Here is a 21,236-nt window from a genome sequence, read left to right on the forward strand (position 1 = left end):
TTCGGTGGTCCACATCCTGACCCTCCCCCATAACCACTGGAGGCCAAGACTTGCAACGTTCCTGAGCCCCAACACAGCCAATTATGCCACAAATAAATAAAGATGGAGAGAGCAGGGGGCTCCTTCCCAGCCTCCATATAGAGCCTTCTTTGAATGACATGGCTCTGGTCCCCAGCTGTGGCTGAGAATGTGTTTCAGGGCTGTACCTCAGACAATGCTGGCCCAGTCTCCTTCCCCAGCTCCCAGCTGCATTTTGCCTCTGGCCTGGGAGTCTCTGCATCTCTCCCCTCTCATGCTCTCTTTCTCTCTCTCGGTCCTTTGGTCATTTTCTTTCCAGATTTTCAAAAGGGGAAGGGACTGGAAAACAAATTCAAACCCTGATTTTTGAGTGGGGTGAAGCCTTCTGCATGAAGAAATAAAAGATCATACATTGATAGCTTGGAAAACAATGGTAATATTTAATTAACCTTTTGAAATGGCTGATCTGCAAATCTGCACGTGTCAGCTCATCTTCAGAACAGAGGCACTGTGTGTGCCGATGCCAAAATCAACATGCTGGTCCATGGATTTCCTCCATGGGGATTTCACAGGGGGAAAAAGTAAGAATATATTCCATGACCCCTCCTCCCACCATCAGTTGTGTTACTTTTAAAAATTCATGTGATCCAGCTGCCCTCGCCAAGGTTGGACGCAGCCTGTTGTGCTGCACATCTGAGGACCCCGAGCTGAAGCTTGGCTCTTGTCCCTGTCATTGTAGCAGACAGGCCTCGGGCCTCCTGGGGGACTGAGGGTCAGTTCTGATGACAGCAAAAATCAGCTCGATGCACTTGGAGTTCTCCCAACACGGTGCATATCCACAGGACAAAGGGAATTAGACTCATCTGCAAGTGTCAACTCTCTGACTTTTTAGTGTTTTTTTTTTTTTTTTTTTCTTTCTTGTAAAGGTGGCGTGGTCTCTTAGTTTGAGAAGTCATGTCATCCAGGGAGCATGGAGGTTGGCTCATTAAAATATCACTTGGTTAAAGTAAATCAGTGTTGATGGAATTGTTTAAGATATTCCCCCTTGTGGAGCTGGTGTGCCACGCTGATCAACTTGTTACTCCCATCACCATGGGCTACGTGGAAACTCCTCCTTTCTACTCTGCACCCCATACCTGCTTTAATGAGCATGTCTCCAAATGTAATCGGAAGCCTGAGTTGATGGGTGGTGACTCATACATTTCATTTCCTTTTATCAACGGCAGTAGCAGAAAGAATCAGGGAGGGTGATATTTTGCTCTTTGGGACTTCTAGGAATTAAAGGAGTATGGGCATCAAGAAAATGAATATGAAATAGGTGATTTCAACTGTACGTACACATCAGTCAAGCAACAACATGCACTTTGAAATGTTTAAAGAAATTACTGTAACTTGTGAGAAGTCTTTAGTTGTTTTTATGTGTTTTGACTGATCAGAGAAAAAAGCGTGGGGCTTTTAAGAAATGTGTGGCAAAACTGTAAAGCTTTGAATAAGGAAGATTTAAGGCTTATGAAGACTTGACAAAGGTAGGATGATGCACAGTGGAGTAAATGAGGTAATTATTTGATTGCAAAGGTCACTTTTTCCTAATTGGAAGGACACAGCATAGTTGGGCAAAACAACTGCAAAATAATCTTATCTCTGTCATTCTGGCAGGCTCAATAGATGTGGGGATCAATAAATGAGGCTGGAAGGTATGAAGCGTTCCTTAAGGTGACCAGGAGAGTGCCTTTCTAGAAGAAGTAGCTCCTCTGTGATGGCCTGACCATCAGTGACTCTGTTCACAGGGCAAGGACAAGAAGGCCAATGGCCACAATGACCCAGAAGTGTTAGAAATACCAAATCTGCCAGTGGCAATTGCCAGGCTGAGACCCAAGGTCTTTTTGGTCCCAAAAAGCATGGAAGGTAGCAGGAAATAAGTTTTCCTGGAGGTAGAAAGAACATTTGTGGTTTGGCTATAAGCCTACACATAGTGACCACTGGCTGCGCTTCAAGCTTGTAGTAGGTGCTTTACAGGCCTTATCTCATTTAATCCTTACAGCAAACCTATGAGGTATTTACTAGTATTAGCCCCACTTTATAGTTGAGGCAATTGAGGGACAGAGAGGCTAAGTAACTTGTTTGCAGTCACACAGAATATACTGATTCTGAGTAGTAATTGAAGAGTTGAGCTGAAGAGGAAGGTTATCTGTTATATCCAATGGTTTGTATTTGTTAAATGGATTTATCTTGTTTTAATAGTGTTTAGTAGTTGGGCTCAGCTGCTCAATGTGACTTGCACAGTGTGTAGTAGTGTTCAGAGGGTCCAATGTCAGGCTTTCTTCAGAAGCTGATCCAAACTACCTCATCCACTCTGAGTCATGTGTTCTTTCTTCTGTGACAGCAGCAACAGGACAGATCTTAGATTTCTGGAAGAGCTTCACCATCCTGAACACACGTGGGAGAAAAGTGAGTCAAATTGAGAAAGCAGAGCAAAAGGGTGGGGCAGGGGTTGGACACACAGAAACCATTCCCCTCCCCTACCTTTTGTTCCCTCAAAATGGACCTCATAGCTTCGGGAGGGAATTAGAATATAAAATGGGATGGCCAACCAAAGGAGAGCTTATTGGTAGAAAAATGTGATGGCTTCCAACCGGCCTTCCACCACTTCCATCCCAAAGCTTCCAGCCCAAAGCTTCCAGCCCAAAGCTTCATCTGACCCCTAAGACTGGCCTGAGTATGATTAGACCACCAGAATCAATAAAATATGGTGAGCTGGGTGGTTACTCAATAAGGAAATACAGGTTGAGCATGCCTAATTTGAAAATGCCAAATCTGAAATGCTCCAAAATCCAAAACTTTCTGAGTGCCAACATGACATAGTGACACCTTTGCTTTCTGATGGCTCAGTGTACACAATCTTTGTTTCAGGCACAAAATTAGTACAAATATTGTATAAAATTACCTTCAGGCTATGTGTATAAGATGTATATGAACCATAAAAACATCTTGTGTTTAGACTTGGGTCTCATCCCCAAGATATCTCATTCTGTATGTGCAAGTATTCCAAAATCCCAAAACCCAGAAATGCAAAGTACTTCTGGTCTCAAGCATTTTGGGTAAGGGGTACTCAACCTGTAGCACATGGATGTGATGCTGTGGAGGCCCCACGACCCAAAGTGTCTTATGGGTCATAACACAAACGGGCTTAATCCCACTCTTAAGAGGTTTATCTTGGGTGGGGGAGCAGCCCCTTCACCAAGGGCTCTGTCTGACATTATGACTAGAGGCCACCAAAAGACAATGTAAATGACAATGTCACTGATGACTACTGACAGTGGGAACATCCACCAAACCTAGGGACTTTACTCTGATGTCTCATGTATTCATGCCTGTCTAATTCCCTGAGCAGCTAAACTATCACTTTCAGTGATTATCACTCTGGCAAAATCTAAGTGGACTCCCAGGGGGTGGGGGAAGAAAACTGCATGTGCATACATAAGAGTGGAAGCTGCGTAAATGTGTGTGTGCTTGCATTTGTGCATGCAAGTGGTGAGAAGCTGAGGGTCTGAGCAGTTTTCCGAGACTCCCCAGAATACAGAAGGCTTGTGGTGCATATGGGAGAACTGACAAGTATACCAGAAGGTGAGGAAATGGCTGGAAGCAACACTAATGCCACTCCATCTGGAAAGAGGGGTACTGTTTAGTACGTCTGGAAAGCATTATTTCTGCAAATAGCTCAACCTCTATCAACTTTCAGGCAGGGATCCCGATCTGCTGCCAAAATGAGATCTCCCTTACGGCAATGTGGTGGGAGCGGCTGAGCAAATGAACTAATAGCACAAAGCAGGAAATCTGTAGAGATGGCAGCCGGTAAGGTACCACACAGCAAGCACCTGCTTCTCTCCAAAAAGACAGCCGGGGCTTCGCATCACATTAGGCCAGGGCTGCACTGGGGGAGAGCCGAGCCTGGTGGGATTTTTGGGCTCAGCAGCCATTTCCAACAATTTCTCACAATTTTTGGGCTCAGAAAAGCCCCAAATAGAGTTAGCCAAATGGCTTTCCTGCATTGATTTTTATACCCGTGGGTATTTTGAAGGAAATTAAATCCATGTGTCTCTGATTCGGTTGCCATTAGCACATGAAAACGCTGTTTTGTGAGAATTATGGTATGCCGTGGGTGCCTTCGCACAGTGCTGCTAAATGCCATAAAACCGTCTAGCCAGACACGGAGGTGCAAGAAGCCGGGTGCGTTCTGCTATACGCCATTTCCCTGCCTGTCCAGAAGGCAACATGTTTTTGTCATTTGCATCCTTTCTGAATGTAGCACAACATGTTTTCTCGTGCCTGTTAATCATCTATCATTTCCAATTTGAATGAAGCCGTATTAGTGTAGATGATGAGAAATTGCCCTTAACCACTAATAGCTGGACAGGATTCATAGGAAAGCTGCCACAAGGACTGGTGCTGGCCTCCAGGTCCAGGGACAAAGAGGCCAGCTGAAAAGTATCCCCAGAAAGGCCATTCAGGCTCCAGTTTGCAACCTTTAGAAGCAGGTGAGCATGCACTGGCTGTGAGAGAGGGTGAGGAACCCTGGTCTGAGATCAGGGCTGGGGGGGCTCCTCTGGGCCCCACTACTGACTGCCTCTGAACTTCCTCTGTATTGATCACCTGGTTGAATGCCATCAGTTTAGGGCTCTTTCTGGGCCTGACATTCTATGAATTAAAATCTAGCCCCAATACGTCCTTAGTGATCAACTTCACTGCATGGTTGCATGTATTAAATCCCTACTGTGTTCAATGTTTTATGCTCAATGTTGAGGGCAGAAAGATGAAAAACCTGTTTTTGCCTTTGGAGGGAAGATGAAAAAAGGAAGGGGAGAGGACTGGTTATTGACTGTGAGTCAGGCAGAGTGTGGGAGCTTTATTCGTCAATCTCACATCATTGGCAAGAATTTTCTAACGTATGCATTATCACCCCTATTTGATGAATGGAATTTTACTGAGTCAGGAGGGGTGAGTAATTTGCTCTTGGACAAGAGCTTGGAAATGTAGGAGTTGGGATATGGGGTCTCTTTTCTATGACTCCAAATTTCGTGTTATTTTCTCTCCTCCTTACTGTCGCTTATAATTTAATGTGATAAGTTTCAAATATACACAAATCTAATATTTTATATCTAGAATTACAGGGAGGGAGTGCCTAATTCTGCTTTGGGAACATTGGAAGACTTCACTAAGAAAATGACATTTGCTTTGAGTTTTGAAAGATGAGCAGAAGTTGACCCAGTGGAGATGGGAGATGGGTTGGGGATGGCAGAGGGAACAGTGTGTGCAAAGAGATAGAGTGAAAAGGGGGCAAAGTGTTTCAGGAACTGAAATCATGCCACTTACCTCATTTGTGTAACACTGATTAATGTATAAACTGCTGAAACATTTCAGGTCACATTTCTCCTATAGACACAATTATATCTTGATTGTACGTTTTCTGGAGCTCCAGTCTAGTCTCATCATTCCATCTACTGGGCTATGGAGGATCATCTTTGAGATCAGGCGGCATCTCAGCAAGTGGCTTGGTTGACTTTGACTTTGGCAGCCTTGACTAACTCAGTGGAAAAGGGGTTTTCTACATTTACCTCCATTCATGTTATTGTCTACAATGTTTTGCTCCTCACTTGCAATAGAAGAAAGAAAGTTAGTCAAGAGCACAGCTGGTGGCAATTTTGCTCTGAATTCAGAGGTTGTGGAGCAAACAGGAAATTTCATGCTGCAGCCGTGGTGGAGGCCAACTGAGCTTTAGTGACTTACATGGTGTGTCCACAACCTGCTTCCCGTGAAATTGCCTATAAGCATGGACAACCTGGGAAGCTGCGGCTGAGCTGCTTCTCTAGAAGCCTCTCTGGATTTCATAACTAGGCTCCTTCTAGCATTTAGTAAAACTGTACTCTCCTATGCCTTAGATTGACTGAACTTGGCCTGTGCCCTATTTTAAAAGTCAGCTGGGCTTCTAAAGCATGAGAGTAGGCAGTCCATGGAGAGTCGTCTTCTCCCATCGTAAAGATTCAGGAGATCTCTCAACTCCTGGCAAGGAGTATGCTGTGTTCCTGGCTGAACGAACTCACTTACCTCAGTCTAGAACTTAACCTGAGGCACGCACACCTTTGGTAATGTTTGTGATTCTAATGATGTCTAAACTGATCCTCCTGGCCTGGTGTCAGCCACTTGTGAGAATCTCACACTCCATTTAGACTCAGGAGACCTACTTCTCATCCAGAATATTTTCCTAAAAAAAATAAACTTCATCCTGTGTCAAATGAAAGGGTCAAACTCAACAATCACTAAGGTCCTATCAGCTCTAGAATGTTCTAATTTATCTTATTCTAGCTTTGCTGGAAGTTGAGACCAGCTGTTTACTCTCATTAAGAGAGAGTCTCACTCTCCCATTATCATTCTAGAATGTCTTAAGCTCCCATATCCTCATCTTAGCTTTTGCTCTTTGCTCCACTAAAGCAAATCTCCATTTATTTGGCCTTTTCTCAGAGGGACAATTTTCCCAAACATATCATCATCCATGTAGACATGGAACCTTTTGGGACCCTCTCTAAGGTCTTTACATCATCCTGCAATTGTACCTTCCAAGCAGAACACCAATACAAGCTTAACTGGAGTGGGATGATGTGGTTGGGTATGGATACAGTCAGATTCTGCCTTTCCAAGCCTTGCTTCTGTGAGAGCTAAACAATTTCAGGGAGCTTGCAGCCCACTGTCATCTGCAGTTGGGTTCATTTAGAGTAGAGGCCACGTTAGCTGTATTATAAACATGGTGGCCAACAATGAATGGCCTGGACTCATTCTCCTCTTGGCTTGTGCAGAGAGAGGCCAGTCAGGTGGCTTAGAGACGTTGTTGGCAGGAACCATCACTGCCTCTATTTGGGAATGAAGGACCATAAATGGTGGCTGCCTTCCAAACTGCCAATAAATAAGTAAATATAGAGAGTGTTGACATTGGTCTCCCTGCCAAACACCAGTCTGCTTCTATTCTCATTTTGGGGGAAACGAAAGAGAGAAGGATTATTGAATAGGCTTTTGAGAAGTAGCCTCAGTTCTACTTGGAATCTCTTCCCTTTTTGGAAACATTTCAGTCGGCTTTCTGGCCCTTATTGGAGAGAGAGACAATTCTGTCAAACATGAGATTGTGTTAGCTTATTCATAATAATGATCAGCAATAGGCTGAAATTGAGCCACTTCTAAGGTTGAACTGTTGTCAACAGATACTTCAGCTATAGTTTGGAATAACAGCTTAGCCCCTGAGAGGGAGGGTGTGAATTTAGCATGCAGCCAACTCCAAGACAGTTTAAGGTGCTGGCCAAGCACGTGGCACTTTAGGAATACTCAGCTTTGGGGCTCAACTTCCTCTCAGCCCACAGATTTACCAGGTTTTTAACCCCTGCCTCCTGAGTTAGAAGGTTTTGTGAATTGATTCAGTCTGAAGTTGGACAACATGGCAGCATGTTTCTCAGCATGGAAGGCATTGAGAAGACATAGCTTGCTTACTTTTGCATGCCTCATGCTTAACATGGTGTCTGTCACATCAAAGGCACTTCATATCTACTTGTGCAATGGATGAATGAATTTAGAGATGCTTTGCTTCCTCTCTGCTGTTATCAATAATCTCAGACTGTTCCTGTATTTTGAATTACTCCAGAGCCACACTCTAGGATATCTGAAGTTTAGGATTTGGCTCTTTCACATGCTTCTGTTGCCACCTACCCATGTCCAACTATCTTCTCCTTAACACCTACCCCACCAGCATGATGGAGGGCTCTCTATAAAGGCTCTCCTAGCCCATGCTGCACACACTTTTTCCTGTTCTGAAGCATGTCTCTAGAAATTCTACACACTTGCTTCCCCCCTTTAAAAAAATCATTTCACTCCTTTCCTGTTCCTTTTCCCACTTCTCTTGAGAACTTTCAAGAGCCTGCAATATAAACAGCTCTAAATGAGAAAATCTGACTGAGAAACTGAGGAAAGAGAAGGCCAAGGGCCAATGGAGGAGTCGGGCACAATAACTTCTCTTTTCATGAGATTCGGTGGGGTTTTCTCCTTGGATGGCTGGTCTCCTGGGCAGAGCTGCTAGCCTTAAAGGGCCACATACGTTAGATTTCCACGGTTGTGTTTTGTTTGTTTGTTTGTTTGTTTTTGAGATGGAGTCCCGCCCTGTCGCCCAGGCTGGAGTGCAATGGCGCGATCTCAGTTTACTGCAACCTCCACCTCCCGGGTTCAAGCGATTCCCTTGCCTCAGCCTCCCATGTAGCTGTGACTACAGGCACACACTACCATGACTGGCTAATTTTTTTTTTTTTTTTGTATTTTTAGTAGAGACGGGGTTTCACCATGTTGACCAGGGTGGTCTCGAACTCTTGACCTCAGGTGATCCACCTGCCTTCGCCTCCCAAAGTGCTGGGATTACCGCATGAGCGCACCCGGCCTCCATGGTTGTTTTGACAGCTGAAGTGCAAAGGAATTAATTTTTCTATTTTATGTTATTTTAAAAATAATTTTACCTTTTATTTTAGATTCAGGGGGTACATGTATAGGTTTGTTACATGGGTATATCGCATGATACTGAGTTTTGAGTTATGAATAACCCTGTCACCCAAGTAGTGAGTATAGTATCCAATAGTTATTATAGTTTTTCAGCCCTTTCCCCTCTTTCTTACTGGCCCCTACCCCCAGTAGTCCCCAGTGTCTACTGTTCCCATCTTTATGGCCATGTGTACCCAATGCTTAGATGCCACTTATAAGTGAGAACATGTGGTATTTTGTTTTCTGTTCCTGTGTTAGACATTAACCCTTTAAGTCAAAGTCTTCTATAGTTTAGTTACTGCTTTTCTTCAAAGTGTGATTTATTATTCACCTCTTAAGGCATGAGTGTCAGAGCACATTCACACGCACACACACTGGATGCTACTGGGTTTTTTACGAGTTTAGACATGACCGATTTCCCTGCACATCCTCACGGCATCTGAATAACCCAAGACTTCCTACTAATGGTTTCAAGAGGAGACTTTCAGGTAATTAGGGAGATTCTGTTTTCCAAGAAAAGCTCTTCTTTTCAGAAGTCTGATTCCAAGGAGTTGTAGATGATTGCTTCATTTTGGGAGCTGGTATAGTTTAACGAGCAGCTTATGCCACACTGATCTCTAGCATATTTGTATCGACAAGGAGACACAAGCCTGCATGATTGTGGTTTTTTCCCTAGGTTCCTAATAGACCTTTGTTATTTATATTTTTAATTGTGTGAAAGTACCTGAAAGCTTAGTGGCAAAGAAGACAGTTGTAAAAAATTGAATAAATAAATACATTTAAAAAAATCCAAGTTAGTGATGTCTGACTTCCTCTATTCATGTTATTGCTACTCTTGTTGCTTTTTGGTTTTTGTTTTGCTTCTTGACTGTTGTTGTTTTCCAGGAAAGCTGTCATTTATCGTGAGAACAAGAGCAGCCATGTGTTGATTTTTCTGGATTCTTTTTGGATACTATCCCAGTGCTAATGAAGGCCCTTCCAAAGTGCTAAAGAGCTGGTGCCAAAATCAGTTACGCTGAAAACAATAGAGAGTGGTACACAGACAGCATATATATACCCGTATATGTATACGCACGCCTCGATATCTGAATTAATACGTGTGTGTGCACCTCCCTCTGTTTATGCAAATATACACACGCATCTGTGCAAACACATAATGTGTGCGCCGGAGCTACACTGAGGAGAATGTGACGGCTGCATTTTAATAAAAGGACTTTTTATAGCTGCTTGCAGAAAATTTTTCTTTGATCAAGGGATGAGCAAAGTTTCTAAATGTTGCAGCGCCCGAATTTGTCAGTTTGGAAGCTACTAAAAATGTACTTTCATCAGTTAAAAAATTTAGGGAGGAAAATAAATATTATAGATAGTATTTGTTTTACTAGGAGATGAGGATACTACTACAAGAAGCACCTGGAAAGTGCTTAGCATAGGCTTGGTTGCTGTGCTTATATTAACAAATTCTTTAACATGGATGTTTGCGTACTTTAGAGGTAGTTTATTAGCTGAAAGAGGGGACATTTTGTAGCTGGGCTCTCTGTGCCCTCAATAGATTTTCCCTGCCTTTCTCCCAATGTGTAATTATTCTGTCCTCAATTTGTTTACACAGCTTGGAGACGGGGACAGAGTTCTCTGGCGACCATGCAGCGGCGTGCAATCGCCCTAAAGAGAAACATTTAGAAGCGATAAAACCTAAATGCCCTGCCATGCACCATTACATCCCACAGTTATTCAAATTTAGTAAGTTAAATTAAATAATATCAAATAACTTGATTTCGGGGCTTTAAAAATTCATCTCTATGGTGCCCAGTAGTCAATTTCCTTTATTATTATTGTTCATCAAGTAGGATTTATGTTTTTTATGAATCAGGATCCTCGCCTGCGCCATCCGCAGCGCTCGTGGCGGGCCCGGTGAGTCGCAGCTCGGAGCGCCATCTACCGGCTGTTTTCTGCACGGCCGCCGGGAGGCTGCGCGCCGGCCCCAGGGTGGGGGAGAGGCCCAGGGAGCCAGGACGGCCCAGCGCGCTGGCCCTGAAAACATCAGAGACAGGACAGAGCTCTCAGCCGCTGTGCTCACAGCTTCTTTGGTCTCGGTCACTGGGGGTCCGCCTGAAGTCGCAGGGAGAAGCCGGAGAGACTGGCTGCTGAGGCTGGAGGAGTTTTTCTTCTGCTGCAAAGCTGACACGTGTGGTGGTGGTGTTCCGCGCCTCCCGTTCTTCTTTATAAAAGCCCAGACATCCAATTAAACTGCTGTGTCCCGGCGTATCTGGGAAGCCATTCCTGCATGACTCAAAGCCTTTCTCTGCTCTCGCACATTCCTGTTAGACGAGGACACTGGATGTTTAGGCACAGTAGCTGCTGATGCCAAAAAGTCCCCCAGGGAAAGACAATGATAAATTTTGTCATGTGTTATGTTTTTAAAAAGTATTTTACTTCCAGGGAAATCTTTTCCCTTTAACATTTCTGAAAAGGAGTTGAATTCTGGTGTGGTGGGGGCAATGGCAAGCCATTGGTTTTCTTAGTGGCAGGTTTCCATTTACGCTTAATTTGATTGTAGTTTAGCAAATAAACAACCATCAGACAATGGCAGTGTGTGTTGAAGGAAGGAAATCCCTTCAAAGCAAAGTTAAACTATTCCCTAATTCAAACCTCTCTGGCACCTTTGTTTGATCTATCTTGCTTCAGTAAAGTTCCATGAGTGTGACACTTAGAAGTTTGCTCACATTTTCAAGTAATATCATAATCCGAGCATCCCAACAGGGCATCCAAGAAATTCCTTTTCTTCTCTAAGCTTCTAAACAGAGTGCTCAGCATGGATATGTGTGTCTGAAAGTGCCTTCCAACTGATCAGCTGTCTCCTCTCTCTCTCCCCCCAGTCAAGTGTTTCAACATAGCAACAGATGGTGTTTTAAGCTTTTTGCTGAGTTTAGTATGGTCTTTTTTTGCTTTCCCAGGAGGACTGTGGTGATAAGTCCACTCTGCCATTAATAAGTTCAAATGAGATGGTACAACTTTCTCTTAGAAATTAAACTAACTTCACTGAGTCCCATGATTTAGTGTTGTTAATGCATTTTTCTTTCTGTTTTTCTTTTCTTTTTTTTCTTTCTTTTTTTTTTTTAGACAGAGTCTTGCTGTCACCCAGGCTGCAGTGCAGTGGCGTGATCTCTGCTCACTGCAACCTCTGCTTCCCGGGTTCAAGCAATTCTCTTGCCTCATCCTCCTGAGTAGCTGGGATTAGAGGTATGTGCCACCACGCCCGGCTAATTTTTTGTATTTTTAGTGGAGATGGGGTTTCACCATGTTTGCCAAGCTGGTCTTGAACTCCTGACCTCAGGTGATACTCCTGCCTCGGCCTCCAAGTGCTGGGATTACAGGCATGAGCCACCATGCCCAGGCGTTAAAGCATTTTTCAAAAGGAGTTCTCCTTCCCTTTCCTTAAAAGTAAACCTCTCTCTCTACCTTATACCATCACTCTATAGTTTCCAGGCATTTTCTTCAGATGTTTGTGCAGAAAAGAAATGTAAGAAAAAAGTTGCCAGACTGGAAGCAAAATCACACAATTTATATTTATTTTGCATGTGTTAGGTTACAAATCTCTGGAGATTTTAAGATCATTCTACTCTTCAAGCAAGAGTCAAAACTAAGTAACATCCTCCATTTGACTTAAGAGGAACAGAGTGAATCATGCTAGAAGGTCTTTTTTCTGAGACTGCATTTACCAAAGAAAATCCAATTCTTAAAGGACCTCCAGAGAGCCTTCCTCCTTGTTGTTCAGTGGTGTGAGGAAAGATCAGAGACTCTTTTGCTAGGCTGTTGAAGTTCGAGGTGAAATCATCTTTTCTTCACTTGTTAACTGAAGGCAAACCCTTCGAAATATCCTGGCCTTGTTGTTCATGTTGTTTTTGCATTTTTATCATCAGGGTCACTTTTGTTATAGATTTGTCATAGTGTGGATCAACCTGCATTCTTGTCAGGGTTTGCAAGCCTCCCTGCCAACGTGCTGATCCAGTGCCTGTCCTGGAGTTACCCACCTCATCCTGGTCTGTCTTTCTTAGAACAATGACTTTCTAGCTCTAGCCTAATACAATAATTTGTTTGGTGGTTTAAAGGAGTTGGCCAAGAAACACAGGCAAGAGCTAGCATTCCCAAACTTAATCCTTAATCTGTTTGTCTTACTTGTTTATGGAGAAAAACAGAAACAAAATCACCCTAAGATTGTGCTATCTGAAACCAAAACACCTCCAGGAAGATGTTCCAGGCTGAATGTCCCACCCCCCTTCCCTCCCCCTGCTACCCCTCCAATTCACATGTTGAAGTTCTAATGCCCAGTACCTCAGAATGAGACTGTGTTTGGAGACAGGGTCTTTATAGAGGTACTTAAGTTAGAATAAGGTTATTAGGATGGGCTTTATCCAATATGGTGAGTGTTCTTATAAGAGGAGGAAATTTAGATACAGACACGAGCAGAGGGAAGACCCTCTTCATGAGAAGACACAGAAAGCAGACAGCCATCTAAAGCCAAGGAGAGAGGCCTGGAATGGTCTTTCTCTCACAGTTCTCAAGAGGAACCAACCTTGCCTACACCTTGATTTTGGACTTCCAGCCTTCAGAACTGTGAGACAATAAATGTCTGCTGTTTAAGTCACACAGTCTGTGACGCTTTGTTATGGCAACCCCAGCCCTAGCTGAGGTGAGGGAATTAATTCAGTCATCCATATATTTTGATATTCCAAAATAACTTCCATTATTTAGAAGAGCCTGCAGGCAGGGAGATGTGGTGTGCTTTGGGAATTCCTTGATGGTGCATTAAACGAGGCCCTTGGAAGATTCCAGCCTGGCCCTGCCCAACTTAGCTGCTGAATCCTCCGCAAACCATAAGGTAGTACTGAAGTCTGTGGAGCGCTACTGCCATGTGTAAACCATGGCTAATCATAGAAATAACTTGTCTTCTATTTAGCTTCATGTACCTGGACACAAAAAGCACTTTCCTGGTGAGAAGCTAACACTTGAAGAACATAGGGTTTTGTGCACCTCTTTTGCAACTCCTTAACATGATTTGGAACAGAGTTAAACTCTGTGGACCTGCAAATTTAACTCCAGAGGTATTACCACACCTGTCTATGCCACCCAGACAGAAGGCTCAGGTGAGAGCTTTCTGCTTGTGCACTTGAAAATTGAGGCCTCATCAACAAATCCTCTTTATGAAACTTGCGTGATTAGTCTTTCCATCGTTGCAGCTGTTTCCATCAATGCAGTGTCCCTTTAAGAACCTGCAGGATTACTAATGGATACAGGTCATGGTGACAGACTTAAGTAAACCTTCAGCAATAAACAATCATGTTGAGTTTTCATATGATTACCATCATCTCATGCCTATCCCAATAGGGCGAAGAATGCATGAAGGAAATGAACATGATGGATCATATACATCATACTGTCATCCCCCAAGAGTGAGACAAACAGTATCTTGAGGAGGCTCACACTGTCTTCCTGATAAAAGCCAACAAGAATGTGCATTAAAATGGATCCTGTATTTTATGATAAACTATTCTCGCCCTGTGTTATATTGTGTTTTATACATATATACACCCCACCTTTATGGAATAAAAATGAATTCAGTGGACCTAAGGCATTTGCTCTGGGGATTTGGGAATTAAATACTGGAGGGCTAGACAATGTCAAAAATTGGAGTGGAATTAAGGAAATTAATAAAATGAGCTGTCTAATTCAAAATTATATATGTATGTCATCTTTGCTTGGGGTTCATATCTCAAGACCCTGCATAAATTAAGTTCATGGCCTGACCCATTTAAAAATAACTCTCTTTTGCTCTTGAAGTCTTTAAGGTCAAGTTCAAGAAGTGTCAGCACTACAATGATTTACCACTTCATGCTTCCTTACTGAGTGTTATTCTCTAGCATTGGTGTGTTTTGTCTCTCCCCCTCCCCATTTGCATCAGAGAACTGATGGGCTGTGTATTTTCAATATCCAGTGTCTGGTTAGAAGATGACAAACATCTGCATTATTTTTCATTTTTCACTTGTCATCAGGATATTTGAGGCGATATACTAAATATACTCACATGATGTCACATGATTTAAGAATATCATTTTCCTCAAGGTAATCTCATTCTAATGTTCTCACTTAGAAACATGATTTTGTTTATTGGTGAATCGACCACTCTGTGATAAGGTGCATTAAGCAATCAAGAGAATATTTTCATGGTTTAATAGAAAAGATCCCGATGTTTTTCCTATCTGAATGGTCCTTGAGATGAATGTGGTGTAAAAATATGATACATTTCCCTGCTTCAGAAGCAGCTCAGAAATCTACGTGTAATGATGGGCTAACAGCTGCAAACACAAGGTGACATCTTTAAAGATAAGGACACTGAGGTATTGATTAGACAAATCTATTTGGCAAGGCAGCAGTGATGTATAGATAGTGGAAGGGGATGTCGGGAGGAATCTGTGAATGCACATATTAGAAAATATCTTGCACCGTTCATAAATAATAACGATTATAATAAAGGCTCTCCCAGTGGTTTAAGGATCCGAGTAATATGAATTGATTGTTAACATTTCACTTTAAAGATAGATTAATTAATGCTGAATCATACGGTAATTCTTATGAAAGTACTGTACATGTGACATCGAAATTAATACCAAATGAATTCATTACAAGTGAGATAATTACAATGAATACCCAATAAATTAGCCACGACAGGACATTTAGAATTCTAGGCATTAAAGTATTGAGAGTAGTAGCAAATGCCCTGGCCACTGCTGAGGTGTCAGGTCACCTCAAACTTAATTGGGTAGGTTCCTGGGCCTTTCAATGTGAGTTTCCTTCTGGTTGGGTATGGGAAGGGCCATGTTGGCTGTGCTGGCTCAGATAAGCTGACAGTGGCTATGGTGGTCACTGGGCCCTTCTATGGGGATGGGTTGTTGCCACAGTCTCCTTAGCAAACTGTTACCAATGAAATGCTGATGATCCCAAGCAAACCACTAGGACTCGGTGAACAAAGAACTTGCAAAGATTCTCCAGCTGAGGTTCTGCTTGGAGCACAGAGAGCCAACTCCTTTGGTGGATCTTCTTATCCTTGCTGTCTGCTGCCATATTCTTACTGTCTGCTGGAGCTTCCTCTGGCCTACAAGGGCATTTTGTAAAACTCTCTCATTTTGGATAGGTTTGTGCTGGAATGCAGAGAAGTCAAGGGACTTCCCCAAGAACACACATCTGTAAATCCCCAGCCTAGGGTTCTTGTTTCTAAGCAATCTGACTAGGAGACAACAATAAACATAATAGCTAATGTTTATTAAGCAAGTAACACAAGCCAAATGTTGTGCTGAATGTCATATGTGTGTCTTCATACAACTCCCTGAGGGAGATGGTAACTCTATTTTGCAAACAGTCCACACAAGTTGAGTAACAAGTGCAAGGTTACCTAGCATGTGAGAGGAGGGTTGAGGACTCTAACCCAGGTTTATTTGTCACCATCACTTGGCTTTCCGGCAGCCGTGAGGTTCCACCTGGTGTCGGTGAGGCATGGTCTCCTGCCAAAGTCTGGTTTACTGCGAGTTCCCTGCAGCCATCCCAGAAAACTGGGTCAACTGTGGGAGAAGAACAGAGGGAGGCGGGGCAGAGATGCAGCTTCTGGGATGTGAGCAGGTGAGTGGGAGAGAGGCTGCCCCTTCTCATCGAGGGTTTGAGAATCAGGCCTTCCTTTTCTGCTTCCTTAACCCCTTTCTGCCCAGGGATGGTAGAACCTCGAGACGAATGGGACCTGCTAACAGGGAGCCCAGGCGATGGGCTGCTTTCCACCTGAGAAACAAATTTCTTTTTTTTTTTATTAATTTTTTTATTATATTTAAGTTATGGGGTACATGTGCAGAAAGTGCAGTTTGTTACATAGGTATACAAGTGTCATGGTGGTTTGCTGCACCCATCAACCCAAGGTCTACGTTAGGTATTTCTCCTAATGCTATCCCTCCCCTAGGAGAAACAAATTTCAATTGTGTTAAGTCACAGAAACATTGGGGCGTATTAGTTCCCTAAACTAAAATGGGAGGTACACAACAAGGATGCAGGTCTTGGGTGGCTTTAGTTCCTGCTTGGCTCCATCAGGGTGATTTTATAGCTCCTACACGTTGCGTCAGGATCTGTGACAGTTTTCTGGGAGGAAAGGCCGCCCTACAGCCATCCCTTATGTAGAAAAGTCGAGGTGTGTTGCATCTCAGGCATCCCTGCAAGAGTCCCAGGCGCCACTGGAGGCCTCCGTGAAGCTCTGGCCCAGCCGGCCTCTGCACCCTGTGGGCTGATGCTGCCATTTGGCAGCCAGTGGACTAGGCACACCCTGGTGGGGATGGCCATGTGTTGACCACACGAGCCTCACTGGTAAGGCTCTGGGAATCAGACCAGAACACTCAATAGAAGTAGGAAGAGGGCTTTAAAACATTTAATTCAGAAATAATTTTAGTGTTAAACAGAAGAACTGTTTCTCTCCATGGAACTTAGATCACTGCAGGAGAGAAGGGAAAGAGAAGGTGGCAGCGGGGTGGGGGGGCGCAAATCCTGAATCAGCTGAATCTATCCTAAAATGTTTGAAAAACAAATCTAGAATCGATGAAGTTATGAACTGGCAAGACTACATTTTGCAACATTAATGGAGATGGGGGCTAGAGAGATAATTGTTTGGTTATAGGGAAATAAAGGCGACTGCATCTTTGCACACATGGGCATATTCTACACACTCTGTGTTCAGACCCTGCAGTGTAGCACTGGTTAATACTGGGCAAAGCTCAGTCTCCTTCAGGCTTCTATTAATAGATGATTGTGACATTGTAACACTGGGACAGGAATCTGCCCAGCAATGCAGTTTGTGCCGAGAAGGTGGCTGTGGACAGGTGGCTGTGGTCATTTATTCATCCAACCAGTATTTATTGAGCCCATATTATGTGCCAGGCATCAGGGTTTCCAAGGTGCTGAGAAAATCCCTGCCTAAAAGGATGACTTTTTTACTACCTAAAATTCCTTATATTCCTAAATACTTTGCTGAGGTCAGCCACCACGAGGGAGACAGGCAGAACAGTAGAAAGGTGTAGGTTTGGGAGTCAGGCCACCTGGGACCAAATCACAGCTGAGTTTGTAAATTTGGATGAGTTATGAACTCTCTTAGGGCTTCGCTTTCCTCATTTGTAAAATGAAGATAATAAAAATACCTATTTCAGTGCAGTGTTGTTGTGAGGATTAAGTGAGACAATTTATTGAACCTCCAGAATATATTAGCTCTGAGTCTATGAAGCTCTGGGCAACTGAGTACATTGAAGCTATTATAGTTGATGGAAAAGAATTTTGGTGAGAGGAAGGAAAGGAAGATTCTGCAAGAAGAACAGAACTGAAGAGAATGCCAGGCCTGGTGCCTGGGCAGCCTATCTCCAGGCTGAAGACAAAAGGCTTGGGAAAGGGGGATTTGGACAGAAGAGTCTCAGGGAAGTAGAGGACACACACCTGCTCTGCCACCCTCAGCACAACACCTGGCATGGTGCCAGGTCATCAGGAAACCCACCTGCAGGGTGGTGCTTGCAGAGCCCTTCGTATGGGCTTCCTGGTGCCATCTTCCCCGGCAGCGAACCGTTCCCCACCCAAGAGCTAACCTGCCTCCGTTCCCCACCTCCAGCTCTGTCTGTCTCCACACCAAGACTCAACCAGAGCAAAATGCTAAAAGGGCAATTTCTGTGGCACTGTAAAAGTGAAAAGCACCAGAGTAATTTACAATGCCTCCATTTTCCTCTGTGCCTTTTAAGAAAAGCATCGTTTTATTCCTTTGGGGTTCACATTGTTATTCCTTCATTATTCTCTGTTTGGAGTAGTAAATGAACACAGAACTGCACGGCAGAGGAAATAAACAAATTGCAAAGTTCCTGGCCATCGAAAAACTTGAAGTGTAGTAGCGTGAGTGGCATAAATAATAATTCAATACAGAATGGGGACAAGGCGATGAGTGGCTTTTACCAACGATGTCCTCTGTGGACCATGTGGGGTTTCAGGAGCAGCAAAATATAGCGGAAGCAAGAAAACACAAATTGGCATATGTTTTAAATAAAAGGGAAAAATGGGGCGGGGTGGGGGAGAAGTTACAACATTAAGATTTTACAATAAAGAAGATAGAGAACTGAGAATTTTCTGGATTGGATAAAAGGACTCAAGGGAAAAAATAAGATAAAATATGGGGGCAATATAATGGTAGCAGTTTTGGTTTTCAGACAAAGAAACAGGATCTTCATGTAAGTTCAGAGATATTGAGTGTTAGATGGCAGTGTGGGAACAGGTTGTACAACCCAGCCAGAAATAGCTGGCCCAGCGGGTAGAGCCTGGGCCTGGGAAGTGTAGCAGCACCAACGATAACCAAACTCTACTCTTGGAAAGAGCTGCTTCTATCCTGAGAGGAGAGACTGTGCCCTGGGGACAGGCAGGGCACCAGGGGTGACAGGAGCAGGAAGGGGCCTGGGGCTTCAGAGCTGAGTCTTGTGTTAAAATATTCCTGCCCCTGTGGTCTTCATGATTGGAGCACCTCCTTCTGCTTTCTCACACCCAGTCTAAGCTACAAGGCAGAGAATGGACACGCTAACAAACTGCCACTTCGCTATGGTTTTGCTGCCTTGCCTTTGATAATCTCTGTGTGTCAGAGTCCTTTTTGGAAGCAATGCCTATCCTCCTATGTGAGTAATGCATGTAAAGCAGCCCAGCCCTAAAATGGTGCTGGCCAGGGAGCTGATGGCCATCGACAGGAGACCTCTATTACCAGTTAGGCCTTGGGGGCTTCAGGGAATATCCAGGCCTCTAAGCTATAAAGAAAAACAGGACCTTGAATGAAGCCAGAGGACTGCTTCTCTCTCTGTGAAGCGCCTCTTCCATTTAAACATCCAACACATGAGATTCAGGTATGGGAAACCACAGAGGAAGAGCAGGTAATAGGTAAAATAATATTTATTTCTTCTTCCAGTGCTTTCTGGCTTCAAAATTTCTTCTATTCATAGGTAGAGTTGCAATGAAGCTGGTAAAAATGAGCCCCCATGGGAAAATCCAATAGGAAGTATTGCCAAGCTATGCTTCAAAATACTATCTGTAAAATTTCTCAAAACTCTAGAGTTTGAGACCAGGAGTTTGAGACCAGCTTGGACAACATAGTGAGACCCTGTCAAAAGAAACAAGGAAGGAAGGAAGGAAGGAAGGAAGGAAGGAAAGAAAGAAAGAAAGAAAGAAAGAAAGAAAGAAAGAAAGAAAGAAAGAAAGAAAAAGAAAGAAAGATAGAAAGAAAGAAGGAAGGAAGGAAGGAAAGAAAGAAAGATAGAAAGAAAGAAGGAAGGAAGAAAGGAAAGAAAGAAAGAAAGAAAGAAAGAAAGAAAGAAAAAGAAAGAAAGAAAGATGTAGCCAAGTGTGGTGGTGCACATCTGTGTCTCAAAACAAAACAACAACAACAACAAAACCCCAAAAAACCAATAGCCACTGCTTAGCTCTTCTAAGTCTAAGGACCTGCACTCCAGCTGGAAATGGTTCTGGCCTGGTGTCTTTCCCCTCCTCCTGGGGTAGCAGGGCAGCCTGGCTTGTTCTTCTCCCAAGGATGACAGAAATGCAGAAAAGCAAGCAGTCACAAGTCCTTTGCTTGCATGAAGTCCGCTGTCATCCCATTATCCAGAGCAAGTCACAGGGCTGGGGAGGAACAGGGCAAAGGTCCAGAGAAACAGCCCCTCACACGGAATCTCTTACTGGGTGAGGGGGGAAACCTGTCTCCCTCAGTCAGGGGGGAGTGTGGGTGGGCCCTTTCTCACTCTCCTGCCTCCACGGACTTGTGCCACTCCCGGGGAATTGCCCTCGACTGGCCATGGTCTGGAACAGCCTGGGAGCTTTTGGGCAGAACAGCTCAGATGTAACCACCTGGCTGGGGGGGCACTTCTGCCTTTAGAGGGGTCTGTGTCCCTGGCCACTGCTCAAGCAAGGAGCTCTCTCAGGCTGCTGAAGGAGAGTCTATGTTTCCTGCTGCAAGTCAGGGCTGCACCAACCCTGACAGATGAGTCAAGTCTTAGAACATATGACATTTATATTGAGAAACAAGAGAGACTGATGTTTAAACTCTGGAATGGACAATAACACCCTGTGAATAACCATGGTCTTAGAGACTCCGGCTTGGTCATGACATTGAGAAAAGTCCTTTGCCAGCTCTTCTGGCAGCATTGGCTCTGCCAGATCTGCTTGATCATCCACAAGTTCAGCGGGAGAGGCCAGGACCAGATCCATCCACAAGTTCAAGGGGAGAGGCTAGGGGCCAGGGTCACCTCAATTTTCACCCTGGGCCCGCAGCTCCAGGCCTCAGAAGCCAGCACGTCCTTTTCTACAGCTTGAGAAACTGGATGTGACTGTCAACACTTGGACACCCATGAGCCACCAACTAACAGGTTAAGAAGTTTTACCTATTTCATTTCATTTATTTATTTATTTATTTTTAATTGACAAATTATAATTGTATATGTTAATGAAAATGTAATGTTATAATATATGTATACAGTGTAGAATGATTAAATCAAGCTAATTAACATGTCCATCACCTCAAATACTTATCATTTTTTTTTTGTGGTGCAAACTTTGAAATTTACTGTTTT

At 43.7% G+C, this 21,236-nt stretch overlaps 1 protein-coding gene across 1 annotated transcript in view, besides 3 other annotated features; it reads left to right on the forward strand.

The window, feature by feature from the left end:
• The window catches only part of CLVS1 (clavesin 1), a 536,782-nt gene that overhangs the window by 48,326 nt on the left and 467,220 nt on the right, over positions 1–21,236 (forward strand). The gene's annotated exons all lie outside the window — the stretch shown is intronic.
• Positions 27–736: an enhancer, noted in NCBI's record as "H3K4me1 hESC enhancer chr8:61925759-61926468 (GRCh37/hg19 assembly coordinates)". NCBI's record gives its function as "activates a minimal SCP1, AML or CMV promoter by ChIP-STARR-seq in primed H9 embryonic stem cells {active_cell/tissue: H9 hESC(primed)}" and the evidence as "EXISTENCE:reporter gene assay evidence [ECO:0000049][PMID:30033119]".
• Positions 4,241–5,440: an enhancer, noted in NCBI's record as "CDK7 strongly-dependent group 2 enhancer chr8:61929973-61931172 (GRCh37/hg19 assembly coordinates)". NCBI's record gives its function as "activates an origin of replication core promoter dependent on BRD2, BRD4, P300/CBP, MED14 and CDK7 cofactors, with strong dependence on CDK7, by STARR-seq in HCT116 cells {active_cell/tissue: HCT116}" and the evidence as "EXISTENCE:reporter gene assay evidence [ECO:0000049][PMID:35650434]".
• Positions 10,559–10,608: a silencer, noted in NCBI's record as "silent region_19233". NCBI's record gives its function as "represses an Ori minimal core promoter by ATAC-STARR-seq in GM12878 lymphoblastoid cells {active_cell/tissue: GM12878}" and the evidence as "EXISTENCE:reporter gene assay evidence [ECO:0000049][PMID:35858748]".

Source organism: Homo sapiens, chromosome 8 (genome assembly GCF_000001405.40).
Source record: "Homo sapiens chromosome 8, GRCh38.p14 Primary Assembly".
Taxonomy (NCBI): domain Eukaryota; kingdom Metazoa; phylum Chordata; class Mammalia; order Primates; family Hominidae; genus Homo; species Homo sapiens.